We start from the raw sequence: 24,713 nt of genomic DNA, 5'->3' as shown, positions 1-24,713 counted from the left end.
CCATGCAACCTTTGGTAGTGCTATATTAAGACTTTCATTTCAGGCTGGGTGCCGTGGCTCATGTCTGTAATCCCAATGCTTTGGAAGGCCGAGGTGGGCAGATCACCTGAGTTCAGGAGTTTGAGACCAGCCTGGCCAACATAGGGAAACCCTGTCTCTACTGAAAATACAAAAATTAGGCAGGCATGGTGGTGTGCCCCTGTAATCCCAGCTACTTGGGAGGCTGAGGCAGGAGAATCGCTTGAACCCAAGAGGTGGAAGTTGCAATGAGCCGAGGTCGTGCCACTGTACTGCAGCCTGGGAGACAGGGCAAGACTCCATCTCAAAAAAGACTTTTGTTTCAGTCCCATCAAGGTCTGTTTTATTCACCCTATTTCTTAATAGACACTTAAAAATTTCCACCCTGCTGGGTTGAGTCCTTTGACTCATTATTAATGTTTTTATTAGCATCTGTAAGATGAGAGTAAGCTGAGATAGCAAATTCAATAAGGCTTCTCGTAATGTTAGATTTTGAAGCAGTAAAGTTACATGGAGTGCCCACATAAAAGGAGCCTCCCTAACCGCAGCATTTGCCCTGGGTAACGGATGTATTCAGCGGGTGAATATCCCGATTATCATAAAGCCAGTCCTGCGTGGCTTTTGTGCAGAGCATATCAGCTTCTTCATCTGGGGTGTTCCACTTGGAATTTATAGGGGGAATTGGGCAGTCTCCCTTCTCAAGGTAAACAGACTTCGAGTAGCTTTTATCCAGTCCTTGAGACTGGCTGGTCCCTCAAGGATTGGATAAAACAGTTCAATTCATTTCTGACTGAATCATCACCTTTGTGTCTGGATCACATATAGCCATCTGTGATTGTTCCATAGTGAGCTGTGGGCCCTGTGTCAACCCAAGCATGTTCTTCCACGCTGCAGCATTTAAAAATAAAGATACTGCCTCGAAATTAGTTCCTGTAGCAGAGATTCATCAGGAAGTGGATGATACTTATCTATAAAATGAGACTTCATACTATCCCCTGGTTTCTGTTGAGGGCAGGAGTTCAAGACCAGCCTGGCCAACATGGTGAAACTCCATCTCTACCTCCCTTGTGGCAGATTGCTTGAGGTCAGGAGTGTGAGACCAGCCTGGCCAACATCACGAAACCCTGTCTCTACAAAAAAAAAAAAAAAAAAAATACAGGCATGGTGGTGTGCGATTGTAATCTCAGCTACTTGGGAGGCTGAGGCCCGAGAATTGCAGGTTGCAGTGAGCTGAGATCATGCCACTGCATTCCAGCCTAGGTGACAGAGCGAGACTCCTTCTCAAACACAACAAAATTATGTGGAAACAACAAAGAGTGTCTCTAAGATCTCTGGTCACCAGAAAGGTACTCCACATGGGGGAACCACAAAACCAAGAAACTACAGAATACCTAAGGGTGTTGGTGAGGAAATGCCCAGGCGGTTTCCACATAATTTTTCCCGTTGGGAGTGGCTTTGAGGCTAGTTGTCACGCCCTGACCAGCAGAAATCTGAGCTTGGTCCAGCATCAAGGTTGACCTAGCACTCTTTTAAATTTCATTTTAGCTTTTACATAGAACAATAACCAAGGGATTTTATATTTAACTTTTTTCTGTTGGTTTGCATTTCCTTATATATCCAGTGAATCCCACTCCCTGGGAGGTGGATTCATCTCTAAATTCCATTAGTTACTTTTACCTTCAGTAAATGGTCTCAGCACAGCTACTGCTCCATCCCATGAGTGGCCACCCAGGAATTAAAGGTTCCTAATTCCCCACCCTCTCATTGTCCCTCTTCCCAAACCACAGGTTTCCATGAGCCTGGGCTGTTATAACAAATCTCAGTTTTTCTGACACCAAGTGAGAGAGTCTTTCCTCCCCAACACCTGTCAATTTGTGATACCAACTGGATGCCCAACAGTTCAATTCATTCCTAACTGAATGTCAGACTCCACAGGTTTAAGAGTTCATTCTCACAAGACTGTCCTCACTTCTGATGCCAGCCACAAATGAGGTATCAGGTGTCTTGGTTTATTTGTGTTACTGTAAAATACCTGAGGCTGGTTAATTTATAAAGAAAAGAAGTTTGGCCTGGTGCAGTGGCTTACACCTGTAATCCCAGCACTCTGGGAAGCTGAGACAGGCAGATCTCTTGAGCCCAAGAGTTCAAGACCAGCCTGGGTAACATGGTGAAACCCCGTCTCTACAAAAAAATTAAAAATAAGGCCGGGCACAGTGTATCACGCCTGTAATCCCAGCACTTTGGGAGGCCGAGGTGGGTGGATCACCTGAGGTTGTGAGTTCGAGACCAGCCTGACCAACATGGAGAAACCTCATCTCTACTAAAAATACAGAGTTACCCAGGCGTGGTGGTGCATGCCTGTAATCCCAGCTACTCGGGAGGCTGAGGCAGGAGAATCGCTTGAACCCTGGAGGCAGAGACTGCAGTGAGCCGAGATCGCACCATTGCACTCCAGCCTGGGTAACAAGGGAAACTCCATCTCCAAAGAAAAAAAAAAAAAAAAAGCCAGACATGGTAGTGTATGCCTGTAGTCCCAGCTACTTGGGAGGCTGAGGTCGAGGATCACCTGAGCCCAGGAGTTAGAGGCTGCAGTGAGCCATTATTATGTCACTGCACTACAGCCTCGTGACAGAGCGAGACCCTGTCTCAAAGAAAAATAAAAGAGGTTTATTTGGCTCACAGTTCTGTGCATGTGCTAGCACCTGCTTCTGATGAGGGCCTTGGGAAGCATCTACTCATGGCAGGAGGTGAAGGGGAGCCAGAATCACATGGCAAGAGGAAGGAAGCAAGAGAGAGGAGGGAGATGCCAGACTCTTTTCAATAACCAATTTTCATGGAAAGTAAGAGTGAAAAACTACTCACTCACAACCATGAGAATGGCACAAAGCCATTCATGAGAGATCCACCCCCAGGACCCAAACACCTCACCTCCAACATTGGGGCCAACAAACCATGTCCAAACCGTAGCACCAGGCCACATACATTTTTTCTTGGATGACTACAAAATCAGGGGTTCCCCAACACCATCCCCCAACCCCTCAAGTTCTATAAATTCCCAGAATGATTCACAGAACTCAAGAAAGCACTTTACTTATTGCTAACTGGTTTATTATAAAGGATACAACTCAGAAACAGCCAAATGGAAGAGAGGTGCAAAAGGTGTAGGGGTGGGTGCAGAACTGCTATGCTTTCCTTGGACTTACCCAGCACCTTAATGTATTTGCCAGTCCAGAAGCTCCTCTATATTTCTTCTTCTTCTTCTTCTTCTTTTTTTTTTTTTTTTGAGATGGAGTCTGTCTCTGTCACCCAGGCTGGAGTGCAGTGGCGTGATCTTGGCTCACTGCAACCTTTGCCTCCAGGTTCAGGTGATTCTCCTGCCTCAGCCTCCCGAGTAGCTGGGATTACAGGCACATGCCACCACAGCTAGCTAATTTTTGTATTTTTAGTAGAGACAAGTTACACCACGTTGGCCAGGCTGGTCTTGAACTCCTGACCTCCAGTGATCCACCTGCCTCGGCCTCCCAAGTGCTGGGATTACAGACCTGAGGCAATGCACCTGGCCACCTCTATTTTTTTCTTGAATAAATTTTTGTTCCTTGCTATTTTCTCTAAGAAAATTTTTATTAAGCTTTCAATATATTAGCAAAAAGTCTTAATATTTCCTTGTTTTCTTGACCCCTGTTATATCTGTAGTTTTGTCCTCCTTTTCATTCCTAATACTGTTTGTGCATTCTCTTTTTCCCCCAATTATTTTTACCTGAAGTTTGTCAATTATATTACTTCCTTTTGTTTGTTTGGTTTTTTGAGACAGGGCCTCACCCTGTCGCTCATCCTGGAGTGCAGTAGCACGATCTAGGCTCACTGCAGTCTTGACCTCCCTGGGCTCAGGCAATCCTCCTGCCTTAGCCTCCCACGTAGCTGGAGCTACAGGTGTGTGCCACCATGCCTGGCTAATTTTTTTTTTTATTTTTTGAAATGACAGGGTCTCACTGTGTTGCCTAGACTAGTCCCAAACTCCTGGGTCCAAGCGATCCTCCTGCATTGGCCTCCCAAAGTGCTGGGATCACAGGTATGAGCCATTGTGCCCAGCCCTATTACTCTTTAAAGAACCAGATTTTACTTTCATTGGTATCTTCTGTTGTACCTTTGTTTTCTGTTTTATTAATTTATGGTTTTGTTTTTATTATTCACTTCTTTCTACTACTTTTTTTGGGCTTATTAAACCTTTCTTTCTCCCCACCTGCCCACCAAAACCAGTATCTTAAGCACTTGAGTCCTGTGTTAGCTACATCCCACAAGTCTTAGTATCTGATACTTTCATTATCATTGAATTCTAAAAATAAATAAATAAATAAATAATTTGAGACAGGGTCTTGCTCTGTTGCCCAGACTGGAATGCAGTGGTGTGATCACAGCTTATGGCAGCCTCAACTTCTCAGGGTCAGGCCATCTTCCCACCTCAACCTCCCTTGTAGCTGGGACTACAGGTGCATGCCACCACACCTGGCCAATTTTTAAATTTTTTTTAGAGGTGGGGTCTCTGTATGTTGCCCAGGCTGGTCTTGAACTCCTGGGCTCAAGCAATTCTTTCACCTCGGCCTCTCAAAGTGCTGGGATTAGAGGTGTGAGCCATCATACCTGGCTAGTTCTAAGAATTTTTAAAATTTCATTTATTTTGGCCATTTGTCTTGCTTTTCTCTCTCTCTCTGTTTTTGATGTTTTGAATTGATTTAAATTTTTTTCTCATTGCAGTTTTTTCTGTTTAGATGTTATATGCTCTTTTTCTTAATGATAAATTTTGAGATTTCAACATGAACAGTTACTCTTATGTTATAGAATCTTCACAGATAACTATAAAATGCTTTAACTCCATGCCCATTGTGGCTTACTTGTTATGATTGTTCAGTTTTAATAATCCCTCAAATTAGACATTTTTATTCTATACACTTGGTTTTGTTTAAATTTACTCATAGTGACCTTATTTTGTTTTTCTTTGAAATAAGGTCTCACTCTGTTGCCTAGGCTGGAGTGCAGTGATGCGACTGAACTCCTGGGCTCAAGCAATCCTACTGCCTCAGCCTCCTGATAGCTGGGACTACAGGCACACGCCACCATGCTGGGCTAATTTTTTTCTTACTTTTTTTTTTTCTTTTTGTAGAGATGGGGGTCTCACTGTCTTGTCCAGGCTGGTCGTGAAGTCCTGGGCTCAAGCAGTCCTCTGCCTCAGCCTCCCAAAGTGCTGGGATTATAGGTGTGAGCCACTGCACCCAGCCTCAGTTATTATTTTTTGAAAATTCACATTTTATTTCATATCTTAGAGATTTCTTTTGAGATCAGTCTTCTTCCTAACATGTGTTCTTAGAAGTTCCTTTCCTGAGATAGCTTTCTCTATTAGATCTTATTTTGTCCTTGTTTTTGAAAAATAGTTCATTGGATGTTAAATTCTATGTTAAAAGTTTTTTTTTTTTCCTTAGTACTCTGAGGATAATATTCTATCATCTTAAATAGTTCATTGGATGTTAAATTATATGTTAAAAGTTTTTTTCTCTTAGAACTCTGAGGATAATATTCTATCATCTTCTGGTTTCCTGTATTGCTGTTGAGAAGTCAGCCATCACCTCTAATGTCATTCTAATGAATGACTCTCATTGTTACTCATTAGCCAGAAATCTGTCTTTTCAACTCTGGTTATATTTAAGATTTTCTGTCTTTGGTGTGTGATATTTTGACTGATTTATCTGAATGAGGCTTTATTTGTTCTGCTTGTGGTTCATTATGTTTCCTGAAATTTAAGAATTAATGTCCTTTACCCATTTTGGAAAATTCTCAACTATCTTTGTAAATATTGCATTCATGTATCTTTTTTTAATCCTCCTGAAATTCTAGTGAAACTTTTTTTTGTTGTTGTTGTTGTTTTGTTTTTGAGACAGAGTCTCACTTTATTGCCCAGGATGGAGTACAGTGGTGCAAACTCTGCTCACTGTAACCTTCGCCTCCTGGGTTCAAGCAATTCTCCTGTCTCAGCCTCCTGAGTAGCTGGGACTACAGGCGCATGCCACCATGCCCAGCTAATTTTTGTATTTTTAGTAGAGACGGGGTTTCACCATGTTGGTCAGGCTGGTCTCGAACTCCTAACCTCAAGTGATCCACGCGCCGTGGCCTCCCAGAGTGCTGGGATTACAGGCATGAGCCACTGTGTCCAGCCTTAAACATGTTAATCTGTCTTGCTCAATCTTCCATTATCTCTCAACCCTTTTTTTTTTGGAGATGGAGTCTCACTCTGTTGCCAGGCTGGAGTGCAGTGTTGCAATCTTGTCTCACTGCAAACTCTGCCTCCTGGGTTCAAGTGGTTCTCCTACTTCAGCCTCCCGAGTAGCTGGGACCACAGGTGTGCACCACCATGACCAACTAATTTTTGTGTTTTTAGTAGAGACGGGGTTTCACCATGTTGGCCAGGATGGTCTCGATCTCTTGACCTTGTGATCCGCCCGCCTTGGCCTCCCAAAGTGCTTACAGGCGTGAGCCACCACACCCAGCCTCATTCCAATTTTCTGTGTGTCTCTGTGCTGCATTCTGGGTAATTTCTCCACATCTGTCTCCTGCTTTATGAATTCTCTCTTTACCTGTGTTTAATCTACAATTAGCCCTTTCTTTGACATTTTTTGGTCACAGTGAAGCTTGTTACAGACAAACATGTTTAGGTTGGGTGGCTTAGGTGGTGTGGTGGCTCCACATTGATGTCATACTGAGGACAGGGGTCAAGTACTCCATGATTAGTCTTTGCTCTTACTTCAGGAGCTGCCAGAGGCTGTGCCTTTCATTTTCTAGTGCCGTAGGTCATTGTTGGCAATACCTGAGATGAATTTCTGTGAAACTAGGGAGATAAGCCAAATTATGCATGTGTCTGAGACCTCAAAGCCAACATAATTCAGATAATGCTCAGTCACATTGGGCCAGGCGCATGGCTCACGCCTGTAATCCCTGCATTTAGAAGGCTGAGACAGGTGGATTACTTGAGGTCGGGAGTTTGAGACTAGCCTGGCCAACATAGTGAAACCCCGTCTCTACAAAAATACAAAAATTAGCCAGGCATGGTGGTGTGCACCTGTAATCCCAGCTGCTGGGGAGGCTGAGGCAGGAGAACCACTTGAACTCAGGAGGCGGAGGTTGCAGTGAGCCAAGTTCATGCCACTGCACTCCAGCCTGGGCAACAGAGCGAGATTCCATCTCAAAAATAAAAAATAATCAGTCACAGCATCCAGGATCATAGGTGTATAATCCTCCAGCTACATCAGGAAGTCCACCAGAGGCATGCTGGATACCACCAGCAGCTTCACATCTCCATTGGCAGTGCTTGGCAGGGCATAAGCCTTGCTAGACACAGCTCCTGGTCTGCACCACCATGGCTCCTGTGCCGCCAGCCACAGGTCCAGACCTAGACCCCTCTGTTGCCCTTGAGGGGCTGACCTTATTCTCCACAGTGATGCTGGTGGACAGCATGGCAGGGGCTGAGGCAGCAGAGGCCATTGCCACCTTGGGATCTGTGCCAGAGCCATCACTAGGCACATTTTTGACAGTATGTTTTTATTGTATAATATAGTCAAGCATAATTTTTTAATGTCTACTTTTATTTCATTTTACATGCCTTAGATGTTAACATATTAATTTCTCAAAGCACGTTTACTGGCTACTCATCATGTAGTAGGTCATATGTTGAATGTTAACAATTCTGAGATTAGAAATACAGATATGTCCAGGCACAGTGGCTCATGCCTGTAATCTCAGCACTTTGGGAGGCGGAGGCAGGCAGGCAGATCACTTGAGGTCAGGAGTTCAAGACCAGCCTGGCCAACATGGCGAAACCCCTTTCTACAAAAAACACAAAAAATTAGCCAGGCGTGGTGGTGCACAGCTGTAATCCAAGCTACTCGGGAGGCTGAGGCATGAGAATCACTTGAACCTGGGAGGCAGAGGCTGCAGTGAACCAAGATCGCACCACTGCACTCCAGCCTGGACGAGAGAGTGAGACCCTGTCTCCAAAAATAAATAAATAAAAAGAAAAATACATATATTGCTCTCTAGGAGATGATGGGGTATTGGGGAAGAGAGACCATGAAGAGAGAATTATGATAGAATTGTAATGTTTCAGTGAGATGAATAATTCCTGGGATGGAAATAAAGATAGGGTACTGTTGAAGCATGTAGATAGTACTCTGGTGATAATAAGAAGTGTTAGGGAAGGCTTTCCAAAGAAGCAATTGCCTGAGGAAAAAGTGGAACCTAGTCAGGCAGTGCAAGAGGAAGGGACATTCTGGGCAGAGGAAAACAATATACAAGGGGCACAAGGCCTGTGAAAACATGGACTGCAAGCAAGTGGTCTTACTGCATATGGAGTGATGATAAGGAATGAGGCAGACAAGGGCCAAATCATGAAGAGCCTCATGTGCCTTGCTGAGGCCTGTCTTAAATATTAAAATAACTTCTTTTATACATTCATCACTTTGAGTATCAATTATAAAAAGACTTTCCTAAAATATTTAAGTTTAAAAAAAATGCTTAAAGAAGAAAACTCTGCCTTTTATTTCTTGATTCAGTTAAAAAGAATTGTCTTATTTCTGCTGAGTAATTGCATTATTAAAAAGCGTGTGGGCTGGGCACAGTGGCTCACGCCTGTAATCTTAGCACTTTGGGAGGCAAAGGCGTGTGGATCACCTGAGGTCAGGAGTTCGAGACCAGCCCGGCCAACATGGTGAAACCCCATCTCTACTAAAAATCCAAAAAAATTAGCCAGGTGTGGTGGCGTGTGCCTGTAATCCCAGCTACTCAGGAGGCTGAGTGAGGCAGGAGAATCGCTTGAACCCAGGAAGTGGAGGTTGCAGTGATCCAAGATTGAGCCATTGCGCTCCAGCCTGGGCAGCAAGAGTGAAAACTCGATCTCAAAAAAAAAATTAATAATGTGTGTGGTACTTCAACCAGTCTTGAAGAGAATACAGAACTGGAAAGAAGAATAGACATAGAACACTCACAACACATGGATGGAATAAAATCTAAGCATGTCTTTTTAAGTTATAGATATCTAGCAAAATTATATATATTCTTATCCCATCATCATCTATTCGTTCAAAAATATTGTTTTAGCCTCTATTATATGTCAGATACTGTGGTAGATACTGAGGTTACAAGAATATAAAAGGCCCCAATCCTTGGTTGAAATGATGGCCACAGAGCAGAATCTAAGGAGATTTCTCTGGATTTGGTCTTCATAGTCTATAACTGTAAATTACTGTCTCTGCCTACTCCTGGTGAGTTTTTGTTGTTGTTGTTGGGTTTTTTGTTTGTTTGTTTTTTGTTTTTTTGAGACAGAATCTCACTCTGTCACCCAGGCCTGGAGTGCAGTGGTACGATCGCAGCTCACTGCAACCTCTGCCTCCTGGGTTCAAGTGATTCTTGTACCTCAGCCTCCCAAGTAGCTGAGATTACAGGCATGTGCCACTATGCCTAATTTTTATATTTTTACTAGAGACAGGGTTTTGCCATGATGGGCGGGCTAGTCTTGAACTCCTGGCCTCAGGTGATTCTCCTGCCTTGGCCTCCCAAAGTGCTGGGATTGCAGGTCTTGAGCCACTGTGCTTGGCTTTTTGTTTTTTGTTTTTTTTTCTGAGACGGAGTCTCACTGTTGCCCAGGCTGGAGTGCAGTAGTGCAATCCCGGCTCACTGCAACCTCCGCCTCCTGGGTTCAAGCAATTCTCCTGCCTTAGCCTCCCAAGTAACTGGGATTACAGGTGCCTGCCACCATGCCCTGCTAATTTTTGTATTTTTAGTAGAAATGGGGTTTCACCATGTTGGCCAGACTGGCCTCTAACTTCTGACCTCAGGTAATCCACCCACCTCGGTCTCCCAAAGTACTGGGATCACAGGCATAAGCCACTGTGCCTGCCCGGCCTTTTTTTGTATTTTGTTAGGATTCTGTTGAACTTAAGAGGAAAAAAAACATAACATTTAGTAGTTATCAGTAAATTTTAGTCAGCACTGGGTGTGAAGTGGGCCCTATGCTTTATGGGTAAAATCAGAGAAAGTGGATGCCACTCTGTCCTTAGGAAACCCACAGAGAGGAGAGACAGTACGGGGGCCAAGTGCCATAATGGAGTCCTGTGATAGTGCAGAACTTCAATTAGTTCTGATTAGGGCACAGTTTCTACTTCTAGGGGCCATCCAGCCGACCTCAGGGGTTTCAGGTCAGCTTTTCATCCTCACCCCGCCCCCGCCCCTGGGATAAAAGACCCATATTGCCTACAGTTCAAACATCTGCCTGATTATCCTAGCAGAGTGGTAGGAACTGATTTTCTGATCTCCTCTACTACCCGCCTCACCTGCACAGAGAGTACCAGCTGTCTCAGCCTAGCTTCTTCAGTGGGCCTTGGCTGTAAAATGTGTGTATCCACCCCAGGTAATTAGGTTAGCTCTTTGTGCTCGTATGACTGACCCCTACCTTTTAGGCCACCTGGTGTTTGTTCTAGAAGTTATTCCTATAAACAGATTTTCACCTAAAATTTGAATCTTTATGAATCAAATAAGGAAAATTTTAAGTAAACTTGGGCTGTGGATAACTGATGATTCATTACCAAAAAGGTAGTCATTTAAAATTATAAAATGACACAAAAAATTTAAATGGAAAACATCCTGTTTATGCTTGGTCAGGTCTTTGAGTTGATGTGACTCAAGTAACATCTGATCATTTTCTTAACCTTTTTAAAAAGACTCCCCTAAATTCTTCCTCCCAAAGATTTTACTGTGTTTGTTCACAGTGGGTTCTGTGAAAGGATTATTACAAGCCCACAATCCATTATCCTCAATTCTACAAATCCAAAAAATTCTGAAAACCAAACATTCTTTTTGTAACTCATTCATCAGCAAAACCAGACCTGAACCAAAGTGACCCTATTCATATTCTTTGATTATCTGTCCTACTGGGACATATATGGTTTGCTGCAGAAATATTAATGTATTTAATTATAGGATACTGCCCTAGATAGTTCATATATGTGGTATATGCACCATACTGCTTTTCTAAATTAAAAAATCTGAATTCTAAAGCATATCTACTTCCAAACATTTAAATCGGACTTGTGGACATATGTAAGTATAAAGCAGCCTTTGCAGAGTGGTTTAAAAGGCTGCTTTACTATTGTGGGGAGCTTTTAATTTTGATAAACTAGTGAGTTCATGTAAATAAAACATAACAAAAACACTAATCCTTAATTTTCTGTTAACTCGAGAATACCCAGATATGATAGTTTTGTGGCTAGGGGTTAGACATAGAAAGTGTAACTATGAATGCATGTATCTGTTTGACTTCTTGTACCCCCAAAATAAAGGCTAAAATAAATATAATCAGCTAACCAAAGCTATAGCCACAGTCATATATACTGTGTAAGAAAAAAGCCTCTGATGGAGGTTGCAGTGAGCCGAGATCATGCCACTGCACTCCAGCCTGGGCGACGGGGCCAGACTGTCTCAAAACAAAAGAAAAAAGAAAAATGGGAATTGTGTAAGCATTCATGTATAAAAAAATGATCAAAAATGTTACACTGGCCTGGTGCGGTGGTTCACGCCTGTAATCCCAGCACTTTGGGAGGCCGAGGTAGGCGGATTGCTTGAGGTCAAGAGTTCAAGATCACCCTGGCCAACATGGAGAATCCCCATCTCTACGAAAAATACAAAAATTAGCCTGGTGTGGTGGTGGGCGCCTGTAATCTCAGCTACTTGGGAGGCTGAGGCAGGAGAATCGCTTGAATCCGAGATGTGGAGGTTGCAGTGTGCCAAGATCGCACCATTGCACTCCAGCTTGGGCAACAAAGCGAGACTCCATCTCAAAAATAATAACAATGTTACACTGTATCTTGTACATTTTTAGTGGGATAAATGCCAAGAGCAGTTTTATTAGTTCTTGATTCCTCCACACTTTAAGAGAATATAAGTTCGTCTACCCATGATTTTAAGAAGCAAAGAGTGTGATGTTTCCCACCTACCCACACCCCCTTAAAACTATTCAAATGAAACCATTTAATTCTTTAATTATAGTGGAATAGAACTGACCTATTTTCTGTATGATCATAAAGAAATATTTACTTTTAACGCAGAAATTTTTTTCTTAAGATCCACATTTTCCAGCTTAATGAAGTGATTGTGTTTTTACTTGGACTCTTCCCTTTCCTTTTTCCTTGTTCTGTGCAGATTATCAACGCCTGATGACTGTGGCAGAAGGCATCACCACACTTTTGTTCCCATTTCAATGGCAACATGTTTATGTGCCCATTCTACCTGCTTCTCTGCTACATTTTCTTGATGCTCCTGTCCCTTATCTGATGGGCCTTCAGTCAAAAGAAGGAACTGACCGTTCTAAACTAGAACTTCCTCAAGAGGTAAAACTACAATGAATGATGAAGCATTTGCTGTTTGCTGATTTAGGTCAAGGCGACTTTCGTTAGATTGCATTGTCTTTGTCAAAATTTTATCTGTCTCTTTGACTCTCCTAAATCTCCAAGTATGGCTAGGGGAGAGCCTGAGCTATAGAATGCAGACTCTTGATGATGACTACTACATAGTCATTAAACCTGGTTTAAAACAAGACAGTGGCTGATTTTCACAACTATAAATTTCTGAAGATGGAGCAGTGGTAGCATGATCTCATTGCTTTATTCTAGTAACATATTTTTTTTCTTTATTCACGTTATAAATTTTGTTTTTAAACAATACAGCCCAGGTTTTAGCATCCTTAAATCATTGTATCAATTGAATTTTATTTTTGACCTCTATCAAATGAAAAGTAACATGTTGCAGCAAACTAGGGATAATGGAAATATCAAACACTTCAGTATTCTCTGTTTTCAGATACAAGGCCAGTTATTTGTTCTAAATGTCAGCTTGGCTTGGTGGTTGAGATAAAAATTCTAACACCTAGTTTTTATGCCACCTTAAAGTTATACTTTCTGTGTGTTGTACTTTCAAATGTTTAAAAAAATAGGCCAGGCGTGGTGGGATTACAAGCGCTTGTAATCCCAGCACTTTGGGAGGCCAAGGTGGGCGGATCACAAGGTCAAGAGATCCAGACCATCCTGGCTAACATGATGAAACCCATCTCTACTAAAAATACCAAAAATTAGCCAGGCATGGTGGCACACACCTGTAGTCCCAGGTACTTGGAAGGCTGAGGCAGGAGAATCGCTTGAACCCTAGAGGTATAGGTTTCAGTAAGCCAAGATCGTGCCACTGCACTCCAGGGTGACAGAGCGAGATTCCGTCTCAAAAATAAATAAATAAACAAGAATTATTGAAAGCATATTTCTGATCTATAAAGTAAGAATAGTAACACCTCCTAGGTGTTGTTTTTACTTTTTTTTTTCTTTTCTTTTGAGATGGAGTTTCGCTCTTGTTGCCCAGGCTGGAGTGCAATGGCGGGATCTTGGCTCACCGCCTCCTGGGTTTAAGTGATTCTCCTGCCTCGTCCTCCCGAGTAGCTGGGATTACAGGCATGCACCACCACGCCCAGCTAATTTTGTATTTTTAGTAGAGACGGGTTTTCTTCATGTTGGTCAGGCTGGTGTCAAACTCCCATCTTCAGGTGATCTGCCCGCCCCGGCCTCCCAAAATGCTGGGATTACAGGCATGAGCCACCGTGCCTGGCCTAATTGTTACTTATTGTTAATGGTACTGAGGATTACCATGTAAGGTCTTTGAAATGAAATATGGATAAGAGTGTGCCACAGCCTTTTACAAAACATAAGATGATTAATTACATTATATCACTAGCTATTTAATTCACATCTTTCTTAATAGAATCTCATGCTGAGATTCACCTTTATTTGTTCTTATTTCCCATAGAGATTCTCATTTTAATAAGTGAATTTAACACACTAAGCCACAGCCATTATTTCCTGTAATGATTCTCATAATCATCCACTGCTTACTTTTATTCTAATGAATATTTCCCCACAAAAATTAAGGTTTTTGCTCAAAGGAAAATAGCATGATTCAGATCACATAAGAGACATATACAGACTATTGTTCTTTTTGGGCTTGTGCATGTTTTTCTTCTCTGTTTTACCTCTTTTCTCTATTCCTTGAATGTTCTTGTTTTTGCTTTCATTAAATTAGTCAAGTATGTTATTTGCTCCAAGAAGTTAATCCTTTAAATTTTCAAGGAAAAAGAAATAGACTAGCCAAATGCATTTTGTTTTGAAGACTTAATGATATTTTAGTTTCTTGTTGAGTGACTGATCTATTTTGTATGTTAATCCATGTAATATTTTATAAGATAATTTATATGTATGTTGTCTTTCCATTTTTCATAACAATTGTTGAGAGATTTTTAAATGGCAGCTTGATATATCTGTAGTTGGGAAACCTTTCCATCTCTATGCCTGTTTGTATCCACTAAAGATAAACAAATTTAAGGATTCTGAAAGCTCCTACAGTAATGTCTGTGATTTTCTAATTTTTCATTAATGAGATCAACACTGCTTAATAAATACGTATACTCATCTGTTCATAGAGTAGAATAATATGAAATAACCTGAATTAGCTGTGAAAATAGCAGTGCTTCGGCTGGGCGTGGTGGCTCACGCCTGTAATCCCAGCACTTTGGGAGGCTGAGGCGGGCGGATCACGAGGTGAGGAGATCGAGACCATCCTGGATAACACGGTGAAACCCTGTCTCTACTAAAAATACAAAAAAAATAGCCGGGCGTGGTGGCAGGCGCCTGTAGTCCCAGCTACTCGGGAGGCTGAGGCAGGAGAATGGCATGAACCCGGGAGGCGGAGTTTGCAGTGAGCCAAGATCGCATCACTGCACTCCAGCCTGGGCGACAGAGCGAGACTCCATCTCAAAAAAAAAAAAAGAAAAGAAAATAGCAGTGCTTCTGTGTAGAAACTATAAATTAGGACATCATTGTTTTATAAGAAAAGGCTAACAGCCTCTTTGTTCTGGTATCATTTTACAATGAGGTGAAATAATCTGCTTCACATAATTTTGGAGAGGAAGTAGATATAAAAATAGTCATTTAAAAAAATGACTTAAATGCACTCACTAGTAATACTTTCCTCCACCTTTCCCTGAAAAGTCTAAAATAAAATAATGGCTAAAAATAGTGACAAGACTTCTAAACATAGTTACAAAAATAACAAATTTGCAAAATGATTATTTTAAGAAGGTATGATTTTAGTTGCTAGCTAACTAATATAACTACATAGATTTATAAATTAATCACCAATTAGCTATCCTCATGATTTAAGAGTGATACCCACAAGTAGCCATTTGTAATACTGTTTTTTAGGGAGTAGGATAGAGAGAATGAGAGTGGAAGGAAGGCACTGAAGATTAATTGCATGGAATGTACCTCACTTTCTACTGTTCTTACTCATCTTCACAGTAACTGGTAGACAAAAAGTTAAGAGAAAAACTGAAACAGAGCTGCTTTTGCAACTTTGTTCTTGTCATATCTTGCCCTGAGATTCTGAGGAAATAATTTATTTTATTTTTTAGACAGGGTCTCACTCTGTCACCCAGGCAGGAATGTGGTGGCACAGCTCACTGCAGCCTTGACCTCCTGAGCTCAGGAGATCCTCCCACCTCAGCCTCATGAGTAGCTGGGACGAGAGGCACACACCACCACACCCAGCTAATTTTTTAAAATTATTATTTGTAGAGATGGAGTCTCACTACATTGCCCAGGCTGGTCTTGAACTCTTGGGCTCAAGCGATCCTCTGGCTTTGGCTTTCCAAAGATTACCAGCATCATCCACAGCATCTGGCCCAGAGGGAATATTTTAAATGCTCTCCTCTCTCTGGCTTACCCTCAAGCTGGCTTAACTTCAGACACTGAGAAGTGAGATCACTTACTAAACATGAAGAGAGCTGCATTAGTCTCTCATTTGTGGATACTTCCTGCTCCGGCCTACAGTTTTAGGGTTCCCCCAAATGACCATCTCCTCAGAGCTTATTCTTTCATTTGCCAAACAGTTGTCTCATACACTATTTGTGTAGAATACAGTGGGAGACACCAAGTCAAAAAGAGGTGATTTCTGCTTTTCAAAAAAGTCATTTACAAATACCAATAACACAAGTTAAAAAGTAAGTCAGTAAGAGGAATGAATGAACAGAGAAGATCCAGAGGAGATCAGAATGCCTTTAGGGTAAGGGTATAGGAAGGTTTCATGACAGAAGAGATGATTAAGCTTTAAGCCTTTGTTTTCTTACTTTTGAGGGAATTTTTTTTTTTTTTTTTTTTGAGACGGAGTCTCACTCTGTTGCCCAGGCTGGAGTGCAGTGGCGCCGTCTCAGCTGACTGCAACCTCCACCTGCCAGGTTCAAGTGATTCTTTTGCCTCAACTTCCCAAATAGCTGGGATTACAGGTGCACGCCACCACACTTCGCTAATTTTTGTATTTGCACTAGAGATGGGGTTTCACCATGTTGGCCAGGCTGGTCTTGAACTTCTGACCTCAAGTGATCCACCCACCTCAGGCTCCCAAAGTGCTGGGATTACAGGCATGAGCCACTGTGCCCGGCCACTTTTGTTGTTGTTGTTGTTTTGTTTTTGAGACGGAGTCTCACTCTGTCGCCTGGGCTGGAGTGCAGTGGCATGATCTTGGCACACTGCAACCTCTGCCTCCTGGGTTCAAGTGATTCTCCTGCCTCAACCTCTCAACTAGCTGGGATTACAGGCGCCTGCCACTACGCCCAGCTTATTTTTTGTGTTTAGTAGAGACGGGCTTTCACCATGTTGGTCAGGCTGATCTCAAACTCCTGACCTTGTGATTTGCCCACCTTGGCCTCCCAAAGTGCTGGGATTACAGGCATGAGCCACCATGCCCAGCCCACTTTTGTTGTTTTTAATAGGAAGTAGTTACATATCATGAAGGCTTGTGAGCAGTGTTGATCAGTAGAAATATTTAGTCCTAAAGCAATGTCAGATTGAGGTGTTGAGTAAATTTTTATCATGTAATACTTATTGAGCTCTTCTGAATTTTTTTTAATTTAATGGTGTTAAAAGTGAGAAGCAACTTATCAGAATGCCCTATTATAGAGTTCTCGTTTGTTTTGGAGAAAGGGCTTTTTGGTTTTCTTCAATACATTTTCATAACACAGTTTGTATTTCCTGTTCTACTTTGAGATAATCAAAGCCCCAGCTTGGGCCCTTCTTAAGCAGACATAGGAGACTTTTGTGGGATCATGAAGACAGACCAGTAGCTATGGTGTTGGAACTCCTACTTTGTAGTACACTCAGCTCAGCAGTGATTTCATGACCATAATAAGCTTTAAAATTTCAGAAAATGTATCATTTTCCCTTTTCATAGGAGGAGGAGAGGGATAGAAAAAGGTAGTAGGAAGGCATTAGTGAAGGTGATAGTACAAAATCTAAGTGGTGGGAGGTTGCTGGTTAACATTTAGATTAGCAAATTAGTAAATTTTTTCTTCCATTTTAAAGATACTGAATTGGCCGGGCGCGGTGGCTCACGCCTGTAATCCCAGCACTTTGGGACGCCAAGGTGGGCGGATCACAAGGTCAGGAGATCGAGACCATCCTGGCTAACACGGTGAAACCCTGTCTCTGCTAAAAATACAAAAAAAATTAGCCGGGCGTGGTGGCAGGCACCTGTAGTCCCAGCTACTTGGGAGGCTGAGGCAGGAGAATGGCGTGAACCCAGGAGGCAGAGGTTGCAGTGAGCCAAGATCGCACCACTGCACTCCAGCCTGGGCAACAGAGCAAGACTCCATCTCAAAAAAAAAAAAAAAAAAAAAAAAGATACTGAATCATCCATTCAAATTATGTGACCTTCATTTAAGCCTTTCAGTGTAAAGAATGGTGTAGGCCGGCCAGGCGCAGTGGCTCACACCTATAATCCCAGCACTGTGAGAGGCTGAGGCAGGTGGATTACGAGGTCAGGAGTTCAAGACCAGCCTGGCCAAGATGGTGAAACCCCATCTCTACTAAGAATATAAAAAAATTACCCAGGCATGGTGGTGGACACCTGTAATCCCAGCTACGCGGGAGGCTGAGGCAGACAATTGCTCGAACCCAGGAGGCAGAGTTTGCAGTGAGCTGAGATCGCACCACTACACTCCAGCCTGGGTGACAGAGCAAGACTACATCTCAAAAAAAGAAAAGAAAAGAATGGTGTAGGCAGTGCTACTGTCTTCAGCAAGATGCGACATTTCAGCTCTTTATTTATTTAGAGAAAACTGCTGACATTGGAGGTGAGGAAAAATAGCAGGGAAAGGCCATAAGCCACCAGGCTGTTTGAGGGTGCACATTTGGAACAGGTGCCAGGAAGTCACCTAATTTCTTGGGCCTCGGTTTCTTCATCTGCAAAATTAAAAGACTGGATTCAAAGATTACATCAGGCTTTAGGAATCATTGTTGATCATCTGGCTTTGAAAGGAGGGAAACCGAAATTTTTTTTTTTTTTTTTTTGGCCAAAGTCTCGCTGTGTTTTGCCCAGGCTGGAGTGCAGTGGCACGATCTTAGCTCACTGCAACCTCTGCCTCCTGAGGTCAAGTGATTATCCTGCCTTAGCCTCCCGAGTAGCTGGGATTACAGGTGCATGCCACCATGCCCAGCTAATTTTTATATTTTTAGTAGAGACAGAGTTTCACCATGTTGGCCAGACTGGTCTTGAACTCCTGACCTCAAGTCATCCTCCCGCCTCAGCCTCCCAAAGTGCTGGAATTACAGGCATGAGGCACCATGCTAGGCCTCATTTTGAGTTTTTATTGAGCTTAATTTAGAGTTTCACTATGCTGCTTGCTAATTGGTATCTAACATGAAGAGCAAGGATCAAAAGAGAAAAACAAAGACCCGACTGGTTGCTTTCCCCTTTCCCCTTACTTTGCCGTCTAGGATCAGAGAGCAGTGTGAATTTTCCCCTTGGTGCCTGGGGGTGGGGGAGCCAGGGAGAAACACATAGTGAAGCTTCCTATTTTGTTTATTAACTTCCACCCCATGTCTTATGTTCAACCATTGATGTAATCAATATTATTTTTATGTGATGGGCTACACTTTTGGCACTCCACCCCCCAATCTAGAAACACAACCTTCTTTTTAACTAACAACCTTGTCCTGATTAAGAGAGTATGGACAGTAGAGGTTAAATACTGTTTGAAGTCTACTACAGATACCTGAGGGATAATCAGAACTTTATACATATGCTTGGCCTCTTGAATTTTCTATATCTACTTGAAAAATATTTAAAATATTTATTCAAAATAAATTCCAAATGTAGAGTGTAAACAAACTCAAACATTTCTTCTGATTTCTGTCACCTCTTCTACTCAACTCAAAAATATCTTGTGTGAACTCTTAATTATTCAAAGGTTAATCAAGTGCATAGTTACATATGCACTTGCCTCTACCACCTCTCTCTGCCTCCTGCATTAGGTATAATGACTTCTGAAATGGTTTTGCTCTAGGAGGTTTAGTGAATTTTGAGTAAAGTTAAAATTTGTGGATTATCTGTGAATTGGATTGATTTTGCCAGTTTCATCCTATTGGGAGATACTACAGCTGCTGGTTTTTGGTGATTATTGTCAATTCTGCATTACAGATGTTAGAGCAGTGGAGTGGCAAAGAAAGTTCAAGTGCATACAGTGAGCATTTTACCTAATATCATGTATTTGTAAGGTCTTATGAGTCTGGGCACGCTTACCCACATAGGAATGCCTAAATGGATGCCAATTGTTAGAAAATCATATTCAGATTATAATATATTGCTGAGACCCAGAGAAAATTATTCATATATATTAAGTATGGTATAAAAAACTCACATAGGGAAAAATGATGGAAAAAGAGGTTATTTTTAAAGAATAAGAAATTCTAAACCTTGCAAAGATTAACATAAAAGGCACCATAATCTATGCTTTTGTTTGTAATAGTTGGCAAGAATTTTTTTTTCTTTTTGTAGAAACAGAATCTTGCCGTGTTTCCCAGTCTTGTCTCGAACCCCTGGGCTCAAGCGATCCTTTTGCTTTGGCCTCCCAAAGTGCTGGGATTATGTGTGAGCCACTGTGGCTGGCTGGCAAGAATATGTTAGCACATACAATTCCTTTATTTTAAACCTTTGTATTTCATTTTTCTCTTTCAGGCTAATTTGTGTTTTGTGGACATTGACAACCATTTTATTGAGTTGCCTGAAGAATTTCCACAGTTCCCCAATAAAGTGGATTTTATCCAAGAACTCTCTGAGGTTCTTGTTCAATTTGGGATCCCTCCTGAGGGCAGCCTACATTGCAGTGAGAGTACCAGCAAACTGAAGAATATGGTTCTGAAAGACTTGGTCAATGACAAAAAGAACGGCAATGTCTGTACTAATAACATCAGCATGTATGAGTTACTGAAGGGCAATGAAACCATAGCCCGCTTGCAGGCTCTGGCCAAGCGTACTGGTGTGGCTGTGGAAAAAATGGACCTCTCTGCTTCTCTGGGTGAAAAAGACAAGGATTTAAAACTGCATTGTGAAGAGGCAGAACTAAGGGACTACCAGCTCAATGTACAGCTCCGAGAGGTCTTTGCTAACCGTTTTACACAGATGTTTGCAGATTACGAAGCATTTGTCATTCAGACTGCCCAGGACATGGAATCCTGGCTGACCAACCGGGAACAGATGCAGAACTTTGACAAAGTAAAAAGAACCATAGTTTTCCTTTTGTGGTTATTAGTGGCTTTATTATTGATTTTAACATTTTTAAATTTTTTATTCTTCTGTGCCTATGCTTACCCATATATTATTGATTTTGTTAACCTTTTTTAAATGCAGACTTTTTGTCTTCCAGCCCCATTAAGAACTTTTCTTTACCAAGTATTTTTACATTAGATAAAATAATTTTACAAGCAAATAAACCAGCTCATTGAACTGGTCATTAAATTGTGCGTTAAATTGCCTGTAATCTCATTTTCAATTTTTCTTTACCTTAAAGATGCTTAAATTATAGAAACTCAGGCCGGGCACGGTGGCTCATGCCTGTAATCCCAGAACTTTGGGAGGCCGAGGCGGACGGATCACAAGGTCAGGAGTTTGAGACCAGCCTGGCCAATATGGTGAAACCCCGTCTCTACGAAAAATACAAAAAATTAGCTGGGCGTGGTGGCGCACACCTGTAGTCCCAGCTACTCAGGAGGCTGAGGCAGGAGAATCGCTTGAACCCGGGAGGCAGAGGTTGCAGTGAGCCAAGATAGCGCCACTGTACTCCGGCCTGGGCAACAGAGAGAGACTCCATCTCAAAAAAAATAAATAAATAAATAAAAATTTATAGAAACTCTTACATTTTGCAGGTTTTCCAAATCTGTTAATACTGTTTAACCTTATAACAGTTTTATTTACTCTTACTTTATGATCAAGTATGGTTAAATAAGCCTACTCCTTTTTGAAGAAATCTATTTATTTAGTCTAGAAATCATTTATTTAGTCTTTATCCTATCAGGAAGTCACAACTTGTCCATGTAAAGTTAACAGTTTGGTTTCAGAAGCCAAATTTCTCTATCTCATTTTAAGATAAAAGGAGAAAAAGAGTGACTAAATTAAGTTTTATGGCTGTAAGTGTAAAACAATTCCAAAGATTTTGGAAAGAGAAGTCAGAAAATATACCAGCTTTCCTTGTCCTGTGATTTCTAAGGGGTACTGGATTCTTCTGCCAGTTTTTTTTCACCTATCTCCCAGATTTTATTTTTCAGACAGATGCACTTAGGGTTGTATAGTAACTCTTTTAGGTCACCAGGGTACAGTTTAGTTCTTTACTGCTGTGATTGCTGAGGTATAATACTGCTATTAGAATGTATCATGGGTTTCACTAAGTGGCCTCTTTGGGTCATGAAAGGCCTTCTAAAGGGGCTGATACATTCCAAGAGGCTAATCTACAGTACTGGAGAATTTTTGGAAATAATGAAAAATTTTCGTAAAGGTACATAGTGGCTGGGCATGGTGGCTCACACTTGTAATCCCAACACTAGGAGGTTGAGGCTGGAGGATCATTTGAGGCCAGGAGTGTGAGACCAGCCTAGGCAACATAGTGAGAACTCATCTCTACAAAAAATTTTAAAATTAGCCGGGCATGGTGGTGTGCTCCTCTGGTCCCAATGACTCTGGAGGCTGAGGTGAGATCACTTGAGCTTCAGAAGTTGAGGCTGCAGTGAGCCAAGATGATGCCACTGCACTCCAGCTTGGGCTAGCGAGTGAGACCCTGTCTCAAAAAAACAAAAGATAATTTTTTTACTTCATCAGATATTTTTTCTGTTGGAGGATGATATTGTATGTTGAACAGTTACGTTCTGGTGTTCTTTGTTTTTCCCCACATCAGACAGGTAATGTTCTAACATGGTAACAAAGTTTGAGGAAGGTACATCTCACACATGAGCATGAAAAGCCAATTATTACATTTATGAACTACAAAAGCATCCTGATGCACTTACGTTTGAGAAAACTTCTTTAATATTAACAAGACTTCACTTCTTTAAGTGTATGCCCTTAGGTTCCTTTTTCGTTAGTCTTAACCATTTTCCATACTTTTTCCTATCTAGCTTAGAACTAATCTGTGGGCTGGGCACAGTGGCTCACGCCTGTAATCCCAACACTTTGGGAGGCTGAGGCGGGCGAATCACAAGGTCAGGAGATCGAGACCATCCTGGCTAACATGGTGAAACCTCGTCTCTACTAAAAATACAAAAAAATTAGCCGGGCGTGGTGGCAGGCACCTATAGTCCCAGCTACTTGGGAGGCTGAGGCAGAAGAATGGCATGAACCCGGGAGGTGGAGCTTGGCAGTGAGCTGAGATCACGCCACTGGACGCCAGCCTGGGCGACAGCGAGACTCTGTCTCAAAAAAAAAAAAAAAAAACTAATCTGTGTATATCCATGGTTTATCCTTGGGACAATTCAAATTCTTACCTAAATCAAGCCCTGATACTTCCTTCCTTCTTAATCTTTATGTAGCCTCAAACTATATAAATGGAATTCTTTTTACATAACCCCTAAAGAAATGAAAATTTTCTGTTGGATTCCAGAAGGCTTATAAGTACCTTTCACTAGGAAAATCTGCAGGACATACTAGTCGTACAAGCCAAATCGTTGTTGACCTAAAATTTTATAGTTTATGAGGGTCTGAATATCAAAAGCCAGATCTTTGGCCCACTTTTTTTAAAAAAAGGCTATTTGATGTATGAAAAGTAAGATGTTTATTGGTGAAGGTGAACTGATTTCTAGACTACTGTGAATCTTTCTGTGGTTATTTGGATTTATGTATATACACCTGAACTATGGAACTACTTAAAGTGAATAAGTGGATTTCTATAAGGAAATTTTAAGAAGACCTCCTAAATTTCAGAATGAAAGTAAATATGCTAGCAAGAAGCTGATGAGTATTTTTAAAAGTCACCTTATGTCAGAACTTATTTCTCTTTCCTCTTTCCCCTTTCCCCTTCTGGCTTCTGCCATGCAAAAATAAAAACCAACCCAGCAACCAAAATAGGAATTTACTTCCAAATTTACTTCCAGATTTTAGTACTGCATTGAATGTAGAATCCCTGTACACACATGAGCATGGAAGAACAACAGAAAAAAAAATGACACTTTTAATTAGGAACTGATTACGATGTACTGAACCATCCCATGCATCAGACAGGCTAGTAACAGGAAAGGTGTACAGCTTATTGTACTCGTTCTCCAAAGGCTTGCTTCTGATGGTTTTTCAGGCAATGATTTGTTTTTGTTTGTTTGTTTTTTTGGAAATGCGGTTTCACTATGTTTCTTTAGGCTGGCCTCAAACTCCTGGGCTCACAGGATCCTCCGGCTTCAGCCTCCCTAGTGGCTGGGACTGTAGGTGGCCACCACCATGCCCAGCTTCCAGGCAGTGCCTTTTTTAGTTGTTAAGGCTGAGACTGTTGTGTCAGCACAGGTGTGGAAGGAATTTTTCCTTGGCTTAACACTCATCTATTGATTTCTCACAGAGTTAAAGAGTCTAGAAAAGCATTCACTTAAAGAAGAACAAAAGAACTTCACCCATAAGCATAAATTCCATGTCTTTTTTAAGATTAATGCTGATGTGTTTATTGTATCAGTTAATCATCTCACTACCTTGTGGCTTGAAAGTATATTTCATAGGCTAGGAATAGAGAACAGAAGGAATTACAACTTGTAGCTGGGCGCGGTGGCTCACGCCTGTAATCCCAGCACTTTGGGAGGCCGAGGCGGGCGGAGCATGAGGTCAGGAGATCGAGACCATCTTGGCTAACATGGTGAAACCCCGTCTCTACTAAAAATTCAAAAAAATTAGCCGGGCGTGGTGGCAGGCGCCTGTAGTCCCAGCTACTCAGGAGGCTGAGGCAGGAGAATGGCATGAACCCGGGAGGCGGGAGCTTGCAGTGAGCCGAGATCGTGCCACTGCACTCCAGCCTGGGCGACAGAGCGAGACTCCATCTCAAAGAAAAAAAAAAAACGAAATTACAACTCATTGGGGAAAGGGATAAAAATTTTTAACTGCAAGTGAAGTGGATGATTGACAATTGTATAGCAACTTATCTGCCATCTTTCGTTACTGATGCCCTCTTTGCTACATAATGGTCATAAGGATCAGAATGTAAATTTTGTAAGGTAAGATCAGTGCTAAAGACCTAAGTGACGTACATTCTCTAAATTTAGGAAAATGGAAAG

General features: G+C 41.8%; 1 protein-coding gene, 1 non-coding gene and 1 pseudogene across 28 annotated transcripts in view; 1 reads left to right on the top strand and 2 right to left on the bottom strand.

Annotated features, from left to right (window-relative positions):
* Window positions 1–24,713, top strand: part of DENND5B (DENN domain containing 5B) — a 208,911-nt gene that overhangs the window by 118,503 nt on the left and 65,695 nt on the right. For 20 of the 27 annotated variants that reach the window (XM_047428429.1, XM_047428424.1, XM_047428421.1 and 17 more), the window contains 2 exons: window positions 12,253–12,440; window positions 20,158–20,694. In XM_047428429.1, the coding sequence (XP_047284385.1) occupies window positions 12,253–12,440; window positions 20,158–20,694 (725 nt within the window). Of the gene's footprint in view, window positions 1–12,252; window positions 12,441–20,157; window positions 21,335–24,713 lie in introns of those variants that run through there. The other 7 variants (XM_047428430.1, XM_047428428.1, XM_047428425.1 and 4 more) reach the window with 2 other exon arrangements.
* LOC100422622 (TAF10 RNA polymerase II, TATA box binding protein (TBP)-associated factor, 30kDa pseudogene) lies at window positions 6,728–7,572 on the bottom strand (annotated as a pseudogene).
* On the bottom strand, window positions 22,361–22,464 carry LOC124903111 (small nucleolar RNA U13). The gene has a single exon (XR_007063647.1). It is a non-coding gene; the product is annotated as a small nucleolar RNA U13 (small nucleolar RNA).

The sequence above is a fragment of the Homo sapiens genome, chromosome 12 (assembly GCF_000001405.40).
Source record: "Homo sapiens chromosome 12, GRCh38.p14 Primary Assembly".
Classification (NCBI taxonomy): domain Eukaryota; kingdom Metazoa; phylum Chordata; class Mammalia; order Primates; family Hominidae; genus Homo; species Homo sapiens.
Note: the sequence above shows the minus strand (reverse complement) of the source record. Positions and strands in the feature narration are given on the sequence as shown.